Genomic DNA, 23,418 nt, shown 5'->3' on the forward strand with positions numbered 1-23,418 from the left:
CTTTGCTGTCTTAACACAGTTTTCTAATAACCTTTCTTTCTGGCCTGGTGGTTGTAATTTCAATGTTGAGAATTTGACAAGAGCCTTTAGCTATATTTTTAGTAACTGCAATTTGTCCTCCTATTACTAATATCTGTGTCATTCCTGACCCAGTAAAAATAGATTGCTTAATTCATACAGGTAAATATTAGTTGGGGGTCATTACTGTCTCTTTATTTAAAAAAAAAAGCTGTATTTCTTACATTATAAAAGTAACATTTATTCTTTGCAAAAATATCAGAAATGTAGAAAGGCATAAAGGTTAAAAAGAAAGATTACCCCATAATACTTCGCCAAAGATAACCAGTTAACTTTGTGATATTTATTTTTTCTGGATTTGTTTCTTTTCATGCTATAAACACACGTGTTTTTTTCCCCATAATGTCATTTTGTTATAATTTTGTTTATAATATTCCTTTTTAAAAGAATGTTTATATTGAAATTGACCAAGAATTCTTAAGGGGGCAACTTGCTTTAGGAGTATGTCTTCTTAATTATCTTACATCACACAACGTGAGATATAGAGGATGATGGATGTAAAGACCGTACAAATGCAGTTGAGACATGAAAAATTCCCACTATTTCAGCTCTGGGGTTTAGACTATGTGGGAGCAATGATAGCCAGGGACTACATTTCCATTGCTGATGAGAATTCTTTATCTCTCGTTCTTTAAAAAAAAAAAAAATCATTTAAAAAGTCATTAAAATAAATCCTGAGCTCATGTTGTAGTCTGTTACCTCTTTCTCAGCTGGCCACTAAAAATTCTGCAAGGAAAGATTACATTCAGGTTAGGTATTTGGAGCCTACATTGAAATAATTACAAATTTGTCCACTCTTGGAAAGTAGAAGAGGTGAAGGGTATGTGTATGTGTGTGCGCACATATGCACGTGTGCATGCGCACACACACGTGTTTTATTGTTTTGTTTTGTTTGGATATTTAGATTGTCTCCAGAGAGGAACTAATATCATCATTAAAAGTTTGATTATAACCAGTGTTCCCATTTGGGAATGGAGTTGTTAACTTTTCCAGACTGCTGTCAAGACCTTATTTTAAGTAAGATGTTTTCCTTTTATGTGACATTTTCTGAGGTTTTGCCAAAAATGACATCAAACATATAATTCATTCGAGTGCTGAGTTTCTTCAACATCTTGCAGCACTTAATCAAATTTGGGAAAGATATTCTTTTCACAACTTTATAGTGTAAACCTGTGAATATGTTGCATTAAACCTTACTTTGTACAGTTTAATCTGCATGGTATCAGGTTGATTTTTAAAAAATGATTAATGCAATAGCTGATAGTTTTTAATGATTATATTTTCAAATTCTGCACATAAACTCCAGGCAGATGGTACAGTTGCAGCTTTTGAGTATTAGTATTTTTTCACACAAAACTCAGATAATCCCTAAATTATATTAATAGCTACATTAAACAATGCCAGAAAGAACAAAAGGAATACTGAAGTTCTCAGAAAACTAACAAGATGCCCAAATACTGAGAAATCATTGAGAACCTATTTTGATATACAAAAATATTTTAGGTTTTTTAAAGAAGACTATGGCCACGCCAGAATGTAAGTTTGTTTAAAACATTATGCTGCAGTATGTTAAAATGTGAAAGTAAGCTAGCCTTAACGAACGTCTTACTCATTAGAAACTCTGATCTTGCGTGTGCTCTATTTATATTTGTTACTTCTGTGCAATAATCACAGTCCTGAAGGGATCATCTGGGCCAATCCCTCCTTTTTTTTTTTTTTTTCCTAGATGGAATCTCGCCCTGTTGCTGAGGCTTGAGTGCAGTGGCACGATCTCCACTCACTGCAACTTCCTCCTCCCAGGTTCAAACGATTCTCCTACCTCAGCCTCCCGAGTAGCTGGAATTACAGGAGCCCGCCACCATACCCAGCTATTTTTTGTATTTTTAGTAGAGACGGGGTTTCACCATGTTGACCAGGCTGGTCTCGAACTCCAGACCTCGTGATCCACCCGCCTTAGCCTCCCAAAGTGCTGGGATTATAGATGTGAGCCACCGCGCCTGGCCCCTCCATTTTATATATAAAGGAAACCTAGAGCTTGCCAGTTAAGGTGCTTACCCAATATTACAGAGCAAAGTAATAGAACTAGAACTCAGGACCCTTAGATTTGTGTCCAGTGCCCTTTATACTACTTGTTTTTCAATGTGATCCAACCTTGAGTGGATGTAGTCTATATAAAGTTTTAATTGGTATTTATTAAAATCTACTTTGGTTTTGGCTAGACTAATTGTTTCTAAAACCCCCCTAGGCAAACTTAGAGTCTTTTGGAGAGCACATTATTATCATAAATCTACACCTTTTTAAAGATTACACATGTGATTTGGGAATGAATGACAAAAGATTATTATGTAATGGAACACATCAATTTCTGTCACTATGGCAGCCTAGGAGTCCAAACTGATCCCCTCACTAAAAACAACGAAAAATGTTGGATATAATACAAAAATATCTTTTGATATGTTCCTATGACTTGCAAAAATGCAAGGAATACTTAAACCAGGGAATAAGTAAAGGTATGAACTAAGATAAGTTAGTGGAGCACTAGGTCAGGCTTTAACCCTAAGGACATTTGTTAAATTGAGTGAACTGGAACATTGCTTTTTGAAATCTCACAAAGTTCATGGAAGATTATGTAAAACTTAAGGTTTTCCCAAGGTAGCGAGGGTCTAACAAGACTATTCTGTGTAGTTGAGGGCCCAAAGGAACACATCCTTAGTGGCAGGAATAATTAGAAATAAGCAGGGTCACCTCATTTCCATCAGTGGGCTACAAGGGAAATTACCTATCTTGAATCATGGCACAAAATATTTGGGAGCAAGAGCATCTCTTGGGAACTCTAGCAACAAGGCAGCCCTCCCATCAGTTAGGAGTCTAAATTCACACTGCCTGAGTGGTCTCCAAATCTTCCAGCCAAGAATTTAGTTGCAATGATAGTCTTGGAGAAAAATATGAGCAATATGTGTTCACAGATAATATGTGAACACCCTATACAATGTAACAGTCTCCTTATGCATCAGAGAAAAATATGAACAGCATCTATAGCATATGATATGTGAAAAACTGCTTTAAATCTGTAATAAAAGACCAACAACCTAACAGAAAAAAAAAAAGGACCAGAACACAGAAAATTCATATAAGAAAAAATTTGAGGGACATCATGGTCACTTTCAAGTTTTGACAATTATGAACAATTTTGTGTGGAATAACAAACAATAAAAGAATTTAGTTGGAAATGGCCCTTGATCTTAAGTGCCTGTAGAAGCCTGATACAAACAAACATAAATTTTTCCTGGAGAATCCTACTTTCATCCCAGTCCTCAAGGAAAGTATAAAAAGAAAAAGAACAGCTCAGAAGACACATATGCACTGAATTCAGACATCCTGACCAAAAGCTAGTAGAAACATCAGACAACAGAATGAGATCCACAAAAAGTTCAGATTTTATTCAGACACTAAATGTTAAGTAAGTGTGTGTAATATATTTCAAGAAATGATAGGCTTGAAAATATAAAGAACACGTGATTTAAAAACAAAGAAGATATAGAAATGAAAAATATAATAGTTAACATTAAAAACTTGATATATTTTATAGCAATTTGCCACAGCTAAAATGAACATTAGTGACTTGAAAGATAGCATTAAAAAATCATGTAGAACTCAGCCCAAAAACAGATTGGAAACCTGGAAGATCTAATAAATGTTTAATCAAATTCTAGGAGGAGACCAAAGGGCAAATAGAGGCAATATTTAGAGAGATGATACTGAGTGTTTTATATAACTAATGAAAAGATCGATTTTACAGAATGAAGTCTCCCCAAAACTAAAAGAGGATAAAGAAAAATAAATTCAGTCCTAGATGCATTATGATAATACATCAGAGCATTCAACACAAAGAGATCTTAAAAGCAGTCGGAAAAGATATTACCATTAAAAAAGCAAGAGCTGATTTCTCAACAGCAACAGGTGAGGACATAAGGCAGAATCTTATTTTCAATGGACTGAGGGAAGTGTCCTTCAGACAAACAAAAGCTGAAAAACATTGCTACCTGTGGACCTTCACCAAAGGAAATTCTAAAGGATATACTTATGGCAAAAGTTAGGTGAGCCCAGATGTAAGACCTATAATACAAAGAGTTAGGAACATGGAAAGTGGTAAATATATGAATAAATCTAAATAAATATTGAAGGAATAAAACAATGATAATGTCTTATGTTGAATAATAAAGGTAAAATTAAAAATACATAACAACATAGTATATAACTTTGGTGAGCAGGTAAAGGGTGCTCGGAAAAGCATTCTACGGCCCTTTTATTGTTTGGGAAGAAGGTAAAGACACAAGATAAACTGTGGTTTTTAAGACATTAATTATACATTTTAAAATTTTTAGGGAAACTACTAACAGGATAAGGAAGGGTCTTAACTTCCAAACCAGTAGAGAAAAAGATGGAATTAGGAAAAAAAAAAATCAACCCAAAGGGGATAAGAAAGGAAAGAAAAATAAACATGGACTGGCAGGATATTTTTTAAAAAAAAGAAAAAAGATGGCATGAGAGATAGGAGAAATAAAATGCAGCTGTATCAATAGTTGTATTGAAATAACACAAAAAGTCTAATACTTCGCCTAAAAAACTACGTTTGTCAAACTGGGCCAAAAAAGAAATTCAATGCAACTTATGTGAGAAACATCTTCAAAATATTGGACAATCAAGCCGCGCACGGTGGCTCATACCTGTAATCCTAGCACTTTGGGAGGCTGAGGTGGGTGGATTGCCTCAGCTCAGGAGTTCAATACCAGCCTCGGAAACACAGTGATAACTCATTTCTACTAAAATACAAAAAAATTAGCCAGGTGTGGCAGTGTGCACCTGTAATCCTAGCTACTGGGGAAGCTGAGGAGAATTGCTAGAACCCGGGAGGCAGAGGTTGCAATGAGCCAAGATTGCTCCAGCCTAGGTGACAGAGTGAGAATCTAGAAGTAGAAATACCATTTGACCCACTGATCCCATTACTGGGCATATACCCGAAAGATTATAAATCATGCTACTATAAAGACACATGCACACGTATGTTTATTGCAGCACTACTCACAATAGCAAAGACTTGGAACCTACCCAAATGTCCGTCAATGATAGAATGGATTAAGAAAATGTGGCACATATACACCATGGAATACTATGCAGCTATAAAAAAGGATGAGTTCATGTCCTTTGCAGGGACATGGATGAAGCTGGAAACCATCATTCTTAGCAAACTGTCACAAGGACAGAAAACCAAACACCGCATGTTCTCACTCATAGGTGGGAGTTGGACAATGAGAACACATGGACACAGGGCAGAGAACAGGGAACATCACACACCAGGGTCGGTCAGAGATGGGGGATAAGGGGAGGGATAGCATTAGGAGAAATACCTAATGTAAATGACAAGTTGATGGGTGCAGCAAACCAACATGGCACATACATAGTTTGTTACCTATGTAACAAACCTGCACATTGTGCACATGTACCCTAGAACTTAAAGTATAATAATAAAAAAAATTGGACAATCAAATCGTTAAGGCAAAATGTATTACTAGGCCTAGAATCTCCACATAACACAGAAACTTCAGTTTACCAGGAAAATGTAATAATCCCTAACTTGCATAGACCTAATAACATAAACTCAAAATCTATGAAGCAAAAACTGATAGACCTAGAATAAGTAAGCAATTCCATTATAGTGAGAGATTTTAATACATTCTCTCAGTAACTGATTAAACAAACATGTAAAAATTTAATAAGAATGTAGAACATTTGAACCACACAATTAACAAGTTTGATATAATGTACAAAAGGGAATATTGCTTCAGAATACATATTATTTTCTAGCTCTCTTGAAACATTTATAGAAAGTGGCCACATAATGGACCATAAAGAAAGAAAATTTTCAGAGGATTGTTTTCAGACTACATCTTCTGACACAATGCAGTTGTTAGGAATTAGAGTTACTGATTTCCAAGTATGTTAATGCAGCCATAGCAGTACTTATAAGCAGTTATTGCATTAGATGCTAGTATTTCAGGAAATTACTATAGAAGTTCCCCACGTAAAGAAGCCTTAAAAAAAAAATACAAAACGCAGGCAAAATTAGCCCAATGAAGTAGAAGGAAGAAAGGAATAAAGAGCAGAAATCAGTAAAATAGAAAACAGTTTTTAGAACTGGGTTACAATAGTTAAAATGACCAGAAGTATAACTTCTTAAAACTTGCACATAGTAGATAGCCAGAAAATTGATTTGACTTTGTTGTATCAGACATTTGTCACTTGTTTTTTCCCAGATGTCCTTCTAATGCAGAGAAAGCAAGATCTAGTTGCTACGTACAAGGAGTGTCATTAGTGAAATTTCTATTGATAGTGCTAGTTTTATTAGCTACAAAAGAAGTTGCTGTTAAAAAAGAAAGAGGGAGAGAGAGGCAAGCAGATGGATAAAGACTCAAAAAATGCCATGTTTAAATAAGATTGAGGATTATTTCTCTCATGCAGAACAATTCAGGGTGAGCACTTCAGGACCAGCAGGTATTTAAGGACCCAAGTTTTTTTCATTTTTGTCTTTTTGGCATCTTCTGAGGTGTTATCATTGTCTGCATGATTCAACCCGACCCACCTCCATGCCTATATTCCAGCAACGGGGAAGAGGAAAGAGCAAGTACCAGACTGGTGACTTCATCTTTGAGGAGATGACCCAAAAGTTGCACAAAAGCACTTTCACTCTTATCATATTATACTGAAATCACATGGCCATACCTAGCTGTAAAAAAGGCTGAGAAATAAAGTCTCCAGTTGAGTGTCCAAGTGGCTGGCTAACTAAATATCAAGGATGGGAGATATATGGGGTTGATTCCTTTACTAAAAGGTAAAAGGGATGACTGAATTCAGGGAGAAAATTACTAGATTCTGTTATATAATATGAACAAAATCCTAGGAAGAACCAAATAGGCGGTAGTCCATTGGGTCAGGAAAAGCTTGACCAAGTATCTGAGCTATGTTTTGAGAGATGAATAAAATTCCACTGCAAAATGAAGGGCAATAAGTATAACAGTAGTTGGAAAGGTGCCTGGCAGAGCAGGAGCCATAGATTCATCTCTATATGCCTAATACTTTGCATAGTAATGGGCAAAATAATAAGCATTCAACAAACATTTGCTGAAGTAATGAATGAAACTGGCTTTTGCTTAAGTGAATAATCACATTATTTGTAAACTAAGGAAAAAAAGAATAACAATGAAAAAGACAATTTTTTGAGTATGAATCTATGACAACACGAAGAGCACAGATGCACATTTAAATAATGGGCAAAGTTTCAGATAAGAGCTATGAACATATTATGAAACAGGACAATGTAATTTGGTGGTATGTACCAGAAAGGGCCCAGTCAAAAGACAGAATCCACAAACAAAACTTTTGAACAGAAACGAAAACATTTGTAATAGCTTTATTGAAGAATAATTTAAAGTGAACTGTTTGACATGTTTTGACGTATGTCTATACCTGTGAAAACATCACCACAATCTAGATAATGAACATGTCCTTCAAGGCCCAACATGTTCTCATGCCCCTTGTTAACCCCCTCTCTGATCCCCTGGCAACCACTAAAGTCTTCTATCACTATAAAATAGTTGTATTTTCTAAATCTTATTTAAATGAAATCATATTCTCTATGTACTTTTTTGTCTGACTTCTTTCAATCAACATATGCATTTTCAGATTTATCCATGTTGTATATATCAGTAGTTTGTTCCTTTTATTGCTAAGTAGTATTCCATTATATAGATATACCACAAGTATTTTATAACCATATGCTATTATTTTGCTTGAGCAAATGTCTGGAAGTGGAATGGCTAAGTCATGTGATAGGTGTATGTTCAACTTTTTGAAAACTGCCAAACTGTTTTCCAAACTGGTTGTGCCATTGTACATCCTACAAGTAGTGCATAAACTATCCTGTTAACTCCATATCCTTGTTAACACTTCGTGTGGTCACTTTCTAATTTTAGCCATTCTAATAGTTTGCAGTGTTACTTTGTGGTTTTGATTTACATTTAATTAATAATGATGTTGAGCATTGTTTCATGTGCTTATTTGTCATCCGTATATATTCTTTGGTGCAGTATATATTCAACTCTTTTTATCCATTTTTTATTGTGTTGTTTGTTATTTACTATTGAATTTTTAGACTTCTTTATATTCTTTGGATACAAATCCTTTATCAGATATATGATTTGTAAATATTTCTCTCAAACGGTGGCTTATATTTTTTGTCCTCTTAATGGTGTCTTTCAAAAAACAAAACTTAAATTTTGGGAAAGTCTAACTTATTAACTTTGTTCATTTTTGAATCTAGTTATTGGTTCTAAGAAATCTTTGCCTGACTCAAACTCAAAAAGATCTTCTATGTGTTTTTTTTTTAGAAATTTTGTAGTTTTAAGATTTTACATTAAGATTTGATTCACTTTGACTTAATGTTTATATATACAGTCACATATCCCTTAACAATGGGGATACAGTCTGCGAAATGTGTTGCTAGGTGATTTTATCGTTGTGTAAACACCATGTGAGTGTTCTTACACAAAGCTTACTCAAAACTAGATAGTATAGTTTACTATACACCTAGGCTATATGGTGTGGCCCAAGCTTGTCCAATCTGTGGCCAGTGGGCCACATGTGGCCCAGGACAGCTCTGAATGTGCCCCAACACAAATTCATAAACCTTCTTAAAACATTATGAGACTTTTTTGTGATTTTTTTTTTTTAGCTCATCAGCTATCATTAGTGTTAGCATATTTTATGTATGGCCCAAGACAATTCTTCCAGCGTGACCCAGGGAAGCCAAAAGATTGGATACCCCTGGTATAGGCTATTGTTCCTAGGCTATAATCCTGTATAGCATATTACTGTACTGAACATTGCAGGCGATTGTAATACACAGGTAAGTATTTGTGTATTTAAACATATCTAAACATAGAAAAGGTACAGTAAAAATACGGTATAAAAGAGATGGAGACCATCCTGGCTAACACAGTGAAACCCCGTCTCTACTAAAAATACAAAAAATTAGCCGGGTGTGGTGGCAGGTGCCTGTAGTCCCAGCTACTTGGGAAGCTGAGGCAGAATGGCGTGAACCCGGGAGGTGGAACTTGCAGTGAGCCGAGATGGCACCACTACACTCCAGCCTGGGTGACAGAGCGAGACTCCATCTCAAAAAAAAAAAAAAAAGGTATAAAAGATAAAAAGTGGTATACCTGTATAGGCACTTATCATGAATGGAGCTCACAGGACTGGAAGTCACTCTAAGTGAGTCAGGGAGTGAGTGGTGAGTTAATATGAAGGCCTAGGACATTACACTGCTGTAGGATTTATAAATACTGTGCATTTAGGCTGCACTGAATGTATTTAAATTTTTTTCTCTCTTTAATAACAACTTCGGCTTACTGTAACTTTTTTACTTTATGAACTTTTTAATTTTTAACTTGACTGTTTTGTAATCACACGTAGCTTAAAACACAAATACATTATACAACTGTACAAAAATATTCAAAAATATTTTCTTTATATCTTTATTCTATAAGCTTTTTTCTACTTTTAAATTCTTCTTTTTCCTTTTGAAGTTTTTTACTTAAAAAGAAGACAAAATCACACAAAAGCCTAAGCCAACACAGGGTCAAGATCATCAATATAACTGTCTTCCACTTCCACATCTTGTTCCACTGATGGGTCTTCAGGGGCAATAACATGTATGAAGCTGTCATCTCCTATGATAACAATGCCTTCTTCTGGAATACCTCCATACGGACCTGTCTGAGGCTATTTTACAATTAAAATTTTCTTTTTATAGGTAGGAGTACACTCTAAAATAACAATAAAAATATAGGATAATAAACATATAGTCATTTATTGTTATTATCAAGTATTATGTACTGTACATAATTGTATGTGCTATACTTTTATAAAACTGGCAGTGTAGATTTGTTTACACCAGCATAACTACAAATGCATGAGTAATGTGTTGCTCTACGAAATTATCATGGCTACAGTGTCACCAGGTGATAGGAATTTTTCAGCTCCATTATAATTAATCTTATGACACCACCTTTGTGTTTGCAGTCCATTAGTTACTGAAACATTGTTAAATAGGGCATGACTGTAGTGCAAAGTATGGATCGAAGTACACATATTTCCATATTGATGGCTGTTTGTTCTAGACCATTTGTTGAAAAGACAATCCTTTCCCTACTGAATTGCCCTTCAACTTTTGTTGAAAATGAATTGCCCATATATACATGGGTTTATTCTATATATTATATATGGGTCTATTCTGTCCCATTCATCTATTTATCTATGTTTACAGGAATACTAGTATCTTGATCACTATGGTTTTATAAGTCTTGAAGTCAAGTGTAAGTCCTCCCACATTTTTCAAAGTTGTTTTGTCTGTTCTACGTCATATGCATGTCCATGTGAATTTTAGGATCAACTAATCAATTTCTACGAAAAAAAAGCCTGCTAGAATTTTGATTGGGATTGCATTGAATATATAAATCAATTTGAAGAAAATTGACATCTTACTACTATTGGGTAGTACCACCCATGAGTGTGTTACATCTTTCCATTTATTAAGGTCATCTTTAATTTCCCTGAGCACTGTTTTGTAGTTTTCAATGTAGAGGTCTTGTATATATTTGTCAGATTTCTTCATAAGTATTTTACATTTTTATGCTACCATAAATGGTATTGTCTTTCGTAATTGATAGACTTAGTCAGGAAACAACAAATGATGGTGAGGATGTGGAGAAATAGGAACACTTTTACACTGTTGGTGGGAGTGTAAATTAGTTCAGCCATTGTGAAAGACAGTGTGGCAATTCCTCAAGGATCTAGAACCGGAAATACCATTTGACCCAGCAATCCCATTACGGGGTATATACCCAAAGGATTATAAATCATTCTACTATAAAGACACATGCACACGTATGTTTATTGCAGCACTATTTACAATAGCAAAGACTTGCAACCAACCCAAATGCCCATCAGTGACACACTGGATAAAGTAAATGTGGCACATATACACCATGGAATACTATGCAGCCATAAAAAAATAATCAGTTCATGTCCTTTGCAAGGACATGGATGAAGCTGGAAACCATCATTCTCAGCAAACTAACACAGGAACAGAAAACCAAACGCTACATGTTCTCACTCATAAGTGGGAGTTGAACAATGAGAACACATGGACACAGGGAGGGGAACATCACACACAGGGGCCTGTTGGGGGATCGGGGCAAGGGGAGGGAGAGCATTAGGACAACTACCTAATGCATACGGGGCTTAAAACCTAGATGATGTATTGATAGGTGCAGGAAACCACAATGGCCACATGTATATCTATGTAACAAACCTGCATGTTCTGCACATGTACCCTAGAACTTAAAATAAAATAAAAAATAAAAATAAAAAAAGAAATTGATAGACTTTTAGAGGAGTTTAGACCTATAGAAAAATTAAGCATAGAGTTCCCACATACCGTCCTTTCTGACGCCCCTCACAGTTTCACCCATTATTAATATCGTGCATTAATTTTTTTGTGACTGACTTCTTTTACCTGCCTTAATGTTTTCAGAGTTTATCCACATTGTATCAAGTATCAGCACTTAGTTCCTTTATCACCAAATAATATTCCATTGTATGCATATAACACATTTTGTTTATCTACTTCATCACTTGAAGGACATGTGAGTTTTTTCCACCTCTTGGCTATTATGAATAATGCTATACAGTGAACATCCTTGTGCATTCACTTTGCTTTAAGCCTTCATGAGCAGTCTCCTCAAAGACCACCATGCTTCTACAAACAGTTTAAGACTCTCCAAGTTTTCATTAACAAATTCTTCCAAATCCTTCCAGCTTCTGCCCACTACAAGGTTTCAAACCATTTACATATTTTAGGTTTTTCTTTAGGTCAGCACCCCACACCTGGATACCAAAATTCTGTATTAGTTACCTATTGCTGCATAACAAGTGACTCCAAAATTAACAGGCTTAAAAAAACATTAAGTTTTTCATAGTTTCTATGGATCAGGAATTCGGAACAACTTAGCTGAGAAGTTTTGCAACTTATGAGGCTGTAGGCAAAATGTTGACCAAGGCTATATAAATCTGAAGACTTGATTTAAGTAGAGAATCTACTAAGATGACTCATTCTCATGGCTGACAGGAAGCCTCGGTTCCTTACCATATGCACCTCTCCATAGTGCTGCTTTCATATCCTTATGATATGGTATCTGGGTTCCCCAGAACAAGTGATTCCTTTGGTATGGTGGGGAGAAGAGGCATGAGAAAGCTACAATGCCTGCTATTAACTATTCTGTAAAGTGACACATGTCACTAAGTCTAGCCCACATTCAAGGGAAGGAGAGTTAGTCTTCATCTTTTGAATCCCTTCAAAGAAACTGTAGACATACTTTAACTACCACAGATAGCAACCCAGAGTTCCAAAACGGACTGATAAACACACTGAATGCAACCATGACTCAGATAAGGATTGGAATAGATGACTTCCTAAGATATCTTTCAGCTCATAGGAATTTAATTGTAAGACCTACCTATATGCAACCTCGAGATACTAGAACAGCTCTGTATGCCCTTTAAACTGCTAATAAATATGGGCCAGGCACAGTGGCTCATGCCTGTAATCCCAGCACTTTGGGAGGCCAAGGCAGGTGGATCACCTGAGGTCAGGAGTTTGAGGCCAGCCTGGCCAACATGGTGAAACCCCATCTCTACTAAAAATACAAAAGTTAGCCGGGCATGGTGGTGCATGCCTGTAGTCCCAGCTACTCAGGAGGCTGAGGCAGGATAATTGCTTGAACCTGTGATGCAGAGGTTGCAGTGAGCCGAGATTGCACCACTGCACTCCAGCCTGGGCGACAGAGCCACACTACATCTCAAAAAAAAAAAAAAAAAAAAAAAACACCTAATGAATGCATATCTTTTCTTTCCTGGCCAGGCTTCATGATTACTACCTTCTCCACACTCAAGCTAAGATGCCCTTAATAGGAACATGTTACTTACCATTAGATCAAGTCTTTCAACCTCCTCCTGCCCCACTTTTCTGGCTTCTGGTCCATGCAGGGCCAGTTTCTTTACTTTCTGTCTTTTAGAACAGTGGTCTCCAAAATGGCACAGAGATGACCCATTACAGTAAAGGGAGAAAGCGTCTGAACTTCTATTTCTGTTTATCTTTTAATCTGAAAATAAAAGACTGAATGAAAAGAACAAAAGAAATAAAGACTAGTAATGCCCATAATTTATGTAAATTTGAATAAATATACAAATTTTTGAGGGTGAATGCTCAAAATTTTTTTACAAATTAAGATACATGATGAAAAGTCTAAAGAACATTGGTCTAGATGTAGCACTGAAATTCTTTATATTATTATTACACTTTAAGTTCTAGGGTACATGTGCACAACATGCAGGTTTCTTACATAGGTATATATGTGCCATGTTGGTTTGCTGCACCCATTAACTTGTCATTTATGTTAGATATTTCTCCTAATGCTGTGCCTCCCCCTGTCTCCCACCCCATGACAGGCCCCGGTGTGTGATGTTCCCCGCCCTGTGTCCAAGTGTTCTCATTGTTCAATTCCCACCTATGAGTGAGAACATGCGGTGTTTGGTTTTCTGTCCTTGTGATAGTTTGCTAAGAATGATGGTTTCCAGCTTCATCCATGTCCCTGCAAAGGACATGAACTCATCCTTTTTTTATGGCTGCGTAGTATTCCATGTTGTATATGTGCCACATTTTCTTAATCCAGTCTATCATTGATAGACATTTAGGTGGGTTCGAAGTCTTTGTTATTATGAGTAGTGCTGCAATAAACATACGTGTGCATGTGTCTTTATAGTAGCATGATTTATAATCCTATGGGTATATGCCCAGTAATGGAATCAGTGGGTCAAATGGTATTTCTAGTTCTAGATCCTTGAGGAATAGCCACATTGTCTTCCACAATGGTTGAACTCCCACCAACAGTGTAAAAGTATTCCTATTTCTCCACATCCTTTCCAATATCTGTTTTTTCCTGACCTTTTAACGATTGCCATTCTAACTGCTGTGAGATGGTATCTCTTGGCAGTTTTGATTTGCATTTCTCTGATGACCAGTGATGATGAACATTTTTTCACGTGTCTGTTGGCTGCACAAATGTCTTCTTTTGAGAAGTGTCTGTTCATATCCTTTGCCCACTTTTTGATGGAGTTGTTTGTTTTTCTCTTGCAAATTTGTTTAAGTTCTTTGTAGATTCTGGATATTAGCCCTTTGTCAAATGGATAGATTGCAAAAATTTTCTCCCATTCTGTAGGTTGCGTATTCACTCTGATAGTAGTTTCTTTTGCTGTGCAGAAGCTCTTTAGTTTAATTAGATCTCATTTGTCTATTTTGGCTTTTGTTGCCATTGCTTTTGGTGTTTTAGTCATGAAGTCATTACCCACGCCTATGTCCTGAATGGTATTGCCTAGGTTTTCTTCTAGGGTTTTTATGGTTTTAGGTCTAACATTTAAGTCTTTAATTCATCTTGAATTAATTTTTGTATAAGGTGTAAGGAAGAGATCCAGTTTCAGCTTTCTATATTCAGCCAGTTTTCCCAGCGCCATTTATTAAATAGGGAATCCTTTCCCCATTTTGTGTTTTTGTCAGGTTTGTCAAAGATCAGATGGTTGTAGATGTGTGGTGTTATTTCTGAGGCCTGTGTTCTGTTCTATTGTTCTGTATATCTGTTTTGGTACCAGTACCATGCTGTTTTGGTTACTGTAGCCTTGTAGTATAGTTTGAAGTAAGGTAGCATGATGGCTCCAGCTTTGTTCTTTTGGCTTAGGATTGACTTGGCGATGCGGGCTCTTTTTTGGTCCCATATGAACTTTAAAGTAGTTTTTTCCAATTCTTTGAAGAAAGTCATTGGTAGCTTGATGGGGATGGCATTGAATCTATAAATTACCTTGGGCAGTATGGCCATTTTCACGATATTGATTCTTCCTATTCATGAGCATGGAATGTTCTTCCATTTGTTTGTATCCTCTTTTATTTCATTGAGCAGCGGTTTATAGTTCTCCTTGAAGAGGTCCTTCACATCCCTTGTAAGTTGGATTCCTGTGTATTTTATTCTCTTTGTAACAATTGTGAATGGGAGTTCACTCATGATTTGGCTCTCTGTCTGTTATTGGCATATAGGAATGCTTGTGATTTTTGCACATTGACTTTGTATCCTGAGACTTTGCTGAAGTTGCTTATCAGCTTAAGGAGATTGTGGGCTGAGACACTGGGGTTTTCCAAATACACAATCATGTCATCTGCAAAGAGAGTCATTTTGACTTCCTCTTTTCCTAATTGAATACCCTTTATTTCTTTCTCCTGCCTGATTGCCCTGGCCAGAACTTCCAACACTATGTTAAATAGGAGTGGTGAGAGAGGGCATCCCTATCTTGTGCCAGTTTTCAAAGGGAATGCTTCCAGTTTTTGCCCATTCAGTATACTGGCTGTGGGTTTGTCATAGATAGCTCTTATTATTTTGAAATATGTCCCAGCTCCTGGATTCATTGATTTTTTGAAGGGTTTTTTGTGTCTCCATCTCCTTCAGTTCTGCTCTGATCTTAATTATTTCTTGTCTTCTGCTAGCTTTTGAATTTGTTTGCTCTTGCTTCTCTAGTTCTTTTAATTGTGATGTTAAGGTGTCGATTTTAGATCTTTCCTGCTTTCTCTTGTGGGCATTTAGTGCTATAAATTTCCCTCTACACATGCTTTAAATATGTCCCAGAGATTCTGGTACATTGCGTCTTTGTTCTCATTGGTTTCAAAGAACATCTTTATTTCTGCCTTCATTTCGTTATTTACCCAGGATTCACTCAGGAGCAGGTTGTTTAGTTTCCATGTAGTTGTGTGGTTTTGAGTGAGTTTCTTAATCCTGAGTTCTAATTTGATTGCACTGTGGTCTGAGAGACAGTTTGTTGTGATTTCTGTTCTTTTACATTTGCTGAGGAGTGCTTTACTTCCAACTATGTGGTCAATTTTGGAATAAGTGCAACGTAATGTTGAGAAGAATGTATATTCTGTTGAATTGGGCTGAAGAGTTCTGTAGATATCTATTAGGTCCACTTGGTGCAGAGCTGAGTTCAAGTCCTGGATAGCATTGTTAACCTTCTGTCTCGTTGATCTGTCTAATATTGACAGTGGGTTGTTAGTCTCCCATTATTATTGTGTGGGAGTCTAAGTCTCTTTGTAGGTTTCTAAGGACTTGCTTTATGAATCTGGGTCCTCCTGTTTTGGCTGCATATATATTTAGGATAGTTAGCTCCTCTTATTGAATTGATCCCTTTACCACTATGTAATGGCCTTCTTTGTCTCTTTTGATCTTTGTTGGTTTAAAGTCTGTTTTATCAGAGACCAGGATTGCAACCCCTGCTTTTTTTTGTTTTCCATTTGCTTGGTAGATCTTCCTCCATCCCTTTATTTTGAGCCTATGTGCGTCTCTGCACGTGAGATGGGTCTCCTAAATAGAGCACACTGATGGGTCTTGACTCTTTATCCAATTTGCCAGTCTGTGTCTTTTAATTGGGGCATTTAGCCCATTTACATTTAAGGTTAATATTGTTATGTGTGAATTTCATCCTGTCCTTATGATGTTAGCTCATTATTTTGCCCATTAGTTGATGCAGTTTCTTTCTAGCATCGATGGTCTTTACAATTTGGCATGTTTTTGCAGTGGCTGGTACCGGTTGTTCCTTTCCATATTTAGTGCTTCCTTCAGGAACTCTTGTAGGGCAGGCCTGGTGGTGACAAAATCTCTCAGCATTTGCTTGTCTATAAAGGATTTTATTTCTCCTTCACTTATGAAGTTTAGTTTGGCTGGATATGAAATTCTGTTTTGAAAATTCTTTTCTTTAAGAATATTGAATATTGGCCCCCACTCTTCTGGCTTGTAGCGTTTCTGCTGAGAGATTTCAGTGGAAACCTCTGCTGAGAGGTTTCAGTGGAAACTGAGACTGACAGTTTCCACTGTCAGTCTGATGGGCTTCCCTTTGTAGGTAACCCAACCTTTCTCTCTGGCTGCCCTTAACATTTTTTCCTTCATTTCAACCTTGGTGAATCTGACGATTATGTGTCTTGGGGTTGTTCTTCTCAAGGAGTATCTTTGTGGTGTTCTCTGTATTTCCTGAATTTGAATGTTGGCCTGCCTTGCTAGATTGGGGAAGTTCTCCTGAATAATATGCTGAAGAGTGTTTTCCAACTTGGATCCATTCTCCCGTCACTTTCAGGTACACCAATCAAACGTACAGCATGGTCTTTTCACATAGTCCCATATTTCTTGGAGGCTTTGTTCGTTTCTTTTTACTTTTTTTTCTGTAATCTTGTCTTCTCACTTTATTTCATTAATTTGATCTTCAGTCACTGATAACCTTTCTTCCACTTGATCGAATTGGCAATTGAGGTTTGTGCATGTGTCACGTAGTTCTCGTGCCAGCTCCTTCAGGGCATTTAAGGTCTTCTCTGTGCTGTTTATTCTAGTTAGCCATTCATCCAATCTTTTTTCAAGGTTTTTAGCTTCCTTGCAATGGGTTCGACCATCCTGCTTTAGCTCAGAGAAGTTTGTTATTACCGACCTTCTGAAGCCTACTTCTGTCAGCTCATCAAAATCATTCTCCATCCAGCTTTGTTCCATTGCTGGCAAGGAGCTGTGATCCTTTGGAGGATAAGAGGCACTCTGGTTTTTAGAATTTTCAGCTTTTCTGCTCTGGTTTTTCCCATCTTTGTGGTTTTATCTACCTTTGATCTTTGATGTTGGTGACCTACAGATGGGATTTTGGTGTGGATGTCCTTTTTATTGACGTTGATGCTATTCCTTTCTGTTTGTTAGTTTTCCTTCTAAGAGTCAGGTCCCTCAGCTGCAGGTCTGTTGGAGTTTGCTGGAGGTCCACTCCAGACCCTGTTTGCCTGGGTATCACCAGCGGAGGCTGCAGAACAGCAAATATTGCAGCACAGCAAATATTGCTGCCTGATCCTTCCTCTGGAAGCTTCGTCCCAGAGGGGCACCTGCCTGTATGAGGTGTCAGTCGGCCCCTACTGGGAGGTGTCTCTCAGTTAGGCTACACAGAGGTCAGGGACCCACTTAAGGAGGCAGTCTGTCCATTCTCAGAGCTCAAACACCATGCTGGGACAACCACTGCTCTCTTCAGAGCTGTCAGACAGGGATGTTTAAGACTGCAGAAGTTTCTGCTGCCTTTAGTTCATCTATGCCCTGCCCCCAGAGGTGGAGTCTACAGAGGCAGCAGGCCTTGCTGAGCTGCGGTGGGCTCCACCCAGTTCAAGCTTCTCCAGCTGCTTTGTTTACCTACTCAAGCCTTAGCAATGGTGGACACTCCTACCCCTGCCAGGCTGCTGCCTCGCAGGTCAGTCTCAGACTGCCGCACTAGCAGTGAGCAAGGCTCTGTGGGCATGGGACCAGCCGAGCCAGGCACAGGATATAATCTCCTGGTGTGCCATTTGCTAAGACCTTTGGAAAAGTGCAGTATTTGGGCAGGAGTGTCCCATTTTTCCAGGTACAGTCTGTCACAGCTTCCCTTAACTAAGAAAAGGAAATCCCCCTACCCTTTGTGCTTCCCAGGTGAGACAATGGCCCACCCTGCTTCAGCTTGCCCTCCGTGGGCTGCACCCATTGTCCAACCAGTCCCAGTGAGATGAACCACATACCTCAGTTGGAAATGCAGAAATCACCCGTCTTCTGCATCGATCATGCTGGGAGATGCAGACCAGAGCTGTTCCTATTCGGCCATCTTGGAACAGACAGCACTGAAATTCTGTTAACACTTTGGACGTCTCTCTGATCTGCAAACTTGAGGATTGATTCTCAGCTGCCTGCCCTTTCCTCCCTCCGTGTTAACAATCATTCCATTTTATCTCTCTCTTGTTCTTCAGTTTTCTCATTTGACCTGCTTGGACTGTAGATTGCTGTCCAGTGCACCCATAGCACCTCTAACCTGTAGTCACAGAGTAAAATATTTTACTATTTTACAAATAAATAGAAATATTAGTATAGAGTGGAGGATTAACTAAGGCATATGGTTTAATCATGAAAGGCTGAGGCAGTGTGAGGAGTCTTGTGCTTTCAGGAAAGGCAGACCACATAATTTGGACTCAATAACTAGAAGAGCTGGATAAATATTTAAAATCCTTTAAAAAATAAATCTCTATAAGACTTTAGAGAACTGATAAGAAAAGTGAAGAATTTCAAGGCTAAGGGCCAGTGGAGAATGGAGGATCAGAGTTTGGGGCAACCCTTTCCCTGGGAAAATCTGCTGAATTTAGAGGGTATAGTGGTGAGTCTAAAAGGTACTGTGGTGTTTTTAACAGTCTCTTGTTGAGAAGAGGGAATAGGGACTGAAGTCCAGGGTCTGCTAAGGGGATGTTTGTAAATATATCTCACTTTGGGTCTGGCTATCTCAAGGCTTTTCTCTAGTAGTAAAGGTTAACTGAAAGTAGACAGACCGGCTGGGCACGGTGGCTCAAGCCTGTAATCCCAGCACTTTGGGAGGCCGAGGTGGGCGGATCACAAGGTCAGGAGATGGAGACCATCCTGGCTAACATGGTGAAACCCCATCTCTACTAAAAATACAAAAAATTAGCCAACCGTGATGGCGGGCACCTGCAGTCCCAGCTACTTGGGAGGCTGAGGCAGGAGAATGGCGTGAACCCAGGAGGCAGATCTTGCAGTGAGCCGAGATCGTGCCACTGCACTCCAACCTAGGCAACAGAGCGAGACTCTGTCTCAAAAAAAAAAAAAAAAAAGAAAGAAAGAAAGAAAGTAGACAGACCTGTATAGGTATATAGCTTCAAATAATCTCAGTACCTGAAATTGAATTAAGGTGGTTCTGGATTGCCAGTGCCTTTAGGCACTGGTAGAAGCCATGTGAAAATCCTCCCTGGGAGAAAATAATATCCTAAGCATCACTTTTTCTGCACTTTGGCAAATGTGGGCCCAACACACAATAAAAAATAGCCAGGTGCACAAAGGGACAAAATTAGTTGACCAAAACCCAGCAGAAACAACAAATAGAAAGAGTCCTAAAGGGACTCCAGATATTGACATTATCAGAAACAGACTTTAAAATAAATATGCTTACTTTTTACAAGGTGTTCAAAGGCAAGATTGAGTAGACCTTTTAAGAAATTTTTTTTATACAGAACAGGAAGTTAAACCTAAAGAAAGAAGGAACTAATAAATAATAAAAACAAAACTTAGTGCAGTAGAAAAAAAAATGCATGTAGTGTAGGAAAGACCAAGCCAAAAACTGGTTCTTTTAAGGACTAATCATATTGATAAACTCTTAATGAGTTTGAGTAAGAAAAAACAATGTGCAGATAATCATCATGAGTTTTAAAAAGGATTTAATTACAGGACCCACCAACATAAAAATGCTCTCAAAATGCTATTATAAACAACCTTCTGCTCCTTAGAAGTACTTCATTTACCAAGACTAATCTAAGAAGAAATAGGATTCTGAATTTTGCTGTTGGAGAGCTCAAATTCATAATTTAAAACTCCCAAATAACACCAGTCTTACAGAAACTCATCCAGAGAATAGGAAAAGAGCAGAAGAGCAATTTGTTATTCGGTTTATGAAGCCAACATAATCTTGATAATAAAACCTGGTAAAGATATATGAGAAAATTATAGACTGCCCTCCTTAAATTAAAAGCAAAATACTTTCATATTAAATGAGGCAATATTTTAATAATACATCATACATCCTGACAAATTTGAATTTATTCTAGGAATGCAGTTTTGGCTTAGCAATCAAAATAGATCAATGTAATTTATCACATTAATAGAACCAAAGGAAAAATCATTTCATCATTTTGATAGGAGAGAAAACATTTAACAAAATTCAGTATGCATTCATGATTTTAATAAAATGTTCTAGCACACTAGAAATAGGACAGTAGTATGCCCTACAAAAAACCTACAGCAAGTATTATACTTAATGGTGTGGTAGGAACTATCAAATAACACACACTATAACCTCTTTTATTCAACATTATTATATTCATAATGATTTACTGGAGATCCCAGCCAGTGTAATAAGGCAAGAATTAGAAACAAAAGATTTGAAAAGGAAGAAACTGTTTTCTTGCTCAGGTACAATTATGTACATACAAAATCCAAAAGAATCTACAGAAAAATTATAAAATTAATGTGAGTATACCTGATAGCTGAGTATAAATTCAGTATACATAATTCAGTTGTATTTTCTATATGGAAATAACAAAGATTTAGAAAATGAAATTTTGAAAGAAATTCTATCTACAGTACCATAAAAATGTCAAATACCATGGAATTAATATACAGACATACAAGACACAGAACACTTTTAAGCCTTATTGAATAATATTAAAGATTATCTATAAAATGGAGGGACATATCATGTTTATGGATTGGGTAGATTCAGTACTGTAAAGATATTTCCCCTAAACTGTTCTATATTTTAAATGCAATTTCAATCAAAATCTAACAGGTTCTATAGAACCTGATAAGCTTATTGTAAAGTTTATAGGGAAATGTAAGCAGCAAAGACAGTCAAGATTGAGGAAAAAACAAAAGTCAAAAATGAGATAGACTATTTTATCTATCTAATATCAAGACTTGTTATAAGACAGTGTGGGATTGATATGATGACTGACAAATAGACACGTGATATAGAATAGAGAGCCTGAAACAGACCCACACACATAAAAGATAGTGCTGAAAAGCAAGGAAAAAGGAGAATGTTTTCCATGATGGTGCTGGAATTAGAGGATAATTAATTTGAGGAAAGAAAAATACTTGACTTTTAACTCACACCAGACATAAAAACTAATTCCAGATAGACTGTTGATCTACATGTGAATGACAAAGCAATAAAACTTCTAGAAAATATTTTAGGAGAATGTCATTATGACCTTCATGTAGCGATTGAAGGATTAAGATATAAGAAGAAGTAATCGTAAAGGAAACATTTGCTGAACTTTTACTCTATTAAAATTAAGAACCTCTGTTCAGCAAGATACCTGACATAAGTGAAGAGGCAAGCCACAAAATGGGAAAGGAAATATACAGCATAGCCAGGATATCTAAAGAGTGATTATTAATCATAAGAGAAATAAATAACCCAAAGAAAAACGGGCAAGAGACTTCACGAGGCGCTTCACAAAGGAAAATATCTAGTGTCCACTAATCATAAGAAAATTTGTCCAACTTCATGAGTATTCAGGAAAATGCAAATTAGAGCCAAACCACACATTCTTCAGAATAGCTAAAAAGATTAACAGTAGCAATTGTTACTGAGAATGTGGAGCATTGGAACTCTTATCCTCTGGTGTCGGGAGTGTAAATTGATGCAACCACTTTAGAAAACAGTAGACATTTTCTGCCACAGTTAAAAATACACACAGTCCATGATTCACTGATTCTACCGTTACATACCTAGTTATCAGACATATGTGCACATGTACAGGAGTGTTCAGTATTATTATTTTTAATAGTGAGAAACAAGAAATAGCACAAATATCTATCATCAACAGAGTGGTAAAAATTGTGGTATATTCATCCAGTGGGATACTATATACAAGTGAAAATGAAAGAACTATAGCTGCACACAACAATGTAGATAAATCTTACAAACATAAAGTTGAGCAAAAGCAGCTAGACACCAAAGAATATAAATGATGTGATTTCATTTTATATAATATGCACAAGAAAACAAACAAAATTAAGTAGTAGTGTGTTTTGGGTTTGGGTTTTGTGTTTGTTTATTTAGTATTACTAGGCACATATCTGAAAAACATTAATGTAGTTTGTTTTTGTTTTCAGAAGAAAGTTTGTTTTTTTCCTCTATCCCCTCCTTGTTTGTTCAAGAACTCACTGACTTGGTGTTCAAATACTTTTTGGAAGTGGTAGTATGGGCTTGTATATTTACAGTAGCAAAAATTAGGTAGTGCTGTTTAGTAGCACATGCTTAAGTGATAAAATTATATAGAAAATAATGTTTGTGATTATCCCGTAGGGAAAGATAATGGTTACTTTTATAGGGAAGAGAGAGGTTAACAAATGGGACATGCAACAGGGATGCTTCTGCAAAGTTGGCAAACAACAGATTTGCCTGATCTGAGTGTTCACTTTGTGACAAATCATTGAGCTATACTTTTTTAACTTGTGTACTTTCCAGTATCTCTGTTACATTTCAGCAATGCATACAAGATTAAACACACACAGACAGGCAAGA

The 23,418-nt window shown here is 36.9% G+C and overlaps 1 protein-coding gene across 3 annotated transcripts in view; it reads left to right on the plus strand.

Moving 5' to 3' along the window:
• Positions 1-23,418, plus strand: part of CWC27 (CWC27 spliceosome associated cyclophilin) — a 249,846-nt gene that overhangs the window by 123,229 nt on the left and 103,199 nt on the right. The window contains exon 12 of one of the 3 annotated variants that reach the window (NM_001364478.1): positions 1,805-2,298. The exons of the other annotated variants lie outside the window; for them this stretch is intronic. Within the exon in view, the coding sequence (NP_001351407.1) occupies positions 1,805-1,827 (23 nt within the window). The 3' untranslated portion in view covers positions 1,828-2,298. Of the gene's footprint in view, positions 1-1,804; positions 2,299-23,418 lie in introns of those variants that run through there. 3 annotated transcript variants of the gene reach the window in all.

This window comes from Homo sapiens, chromosome 5, assembly GCF_000001405.40.
Source record: "Homo sapiens chromosome 5, GRCh38.p14 Primary Assembly".
Taxonomy (NCBI): Eukaryota; Metazoa; Chordata; class Mammalia; order Primates; family Hominidae; genus Homo; species Homo sapiens.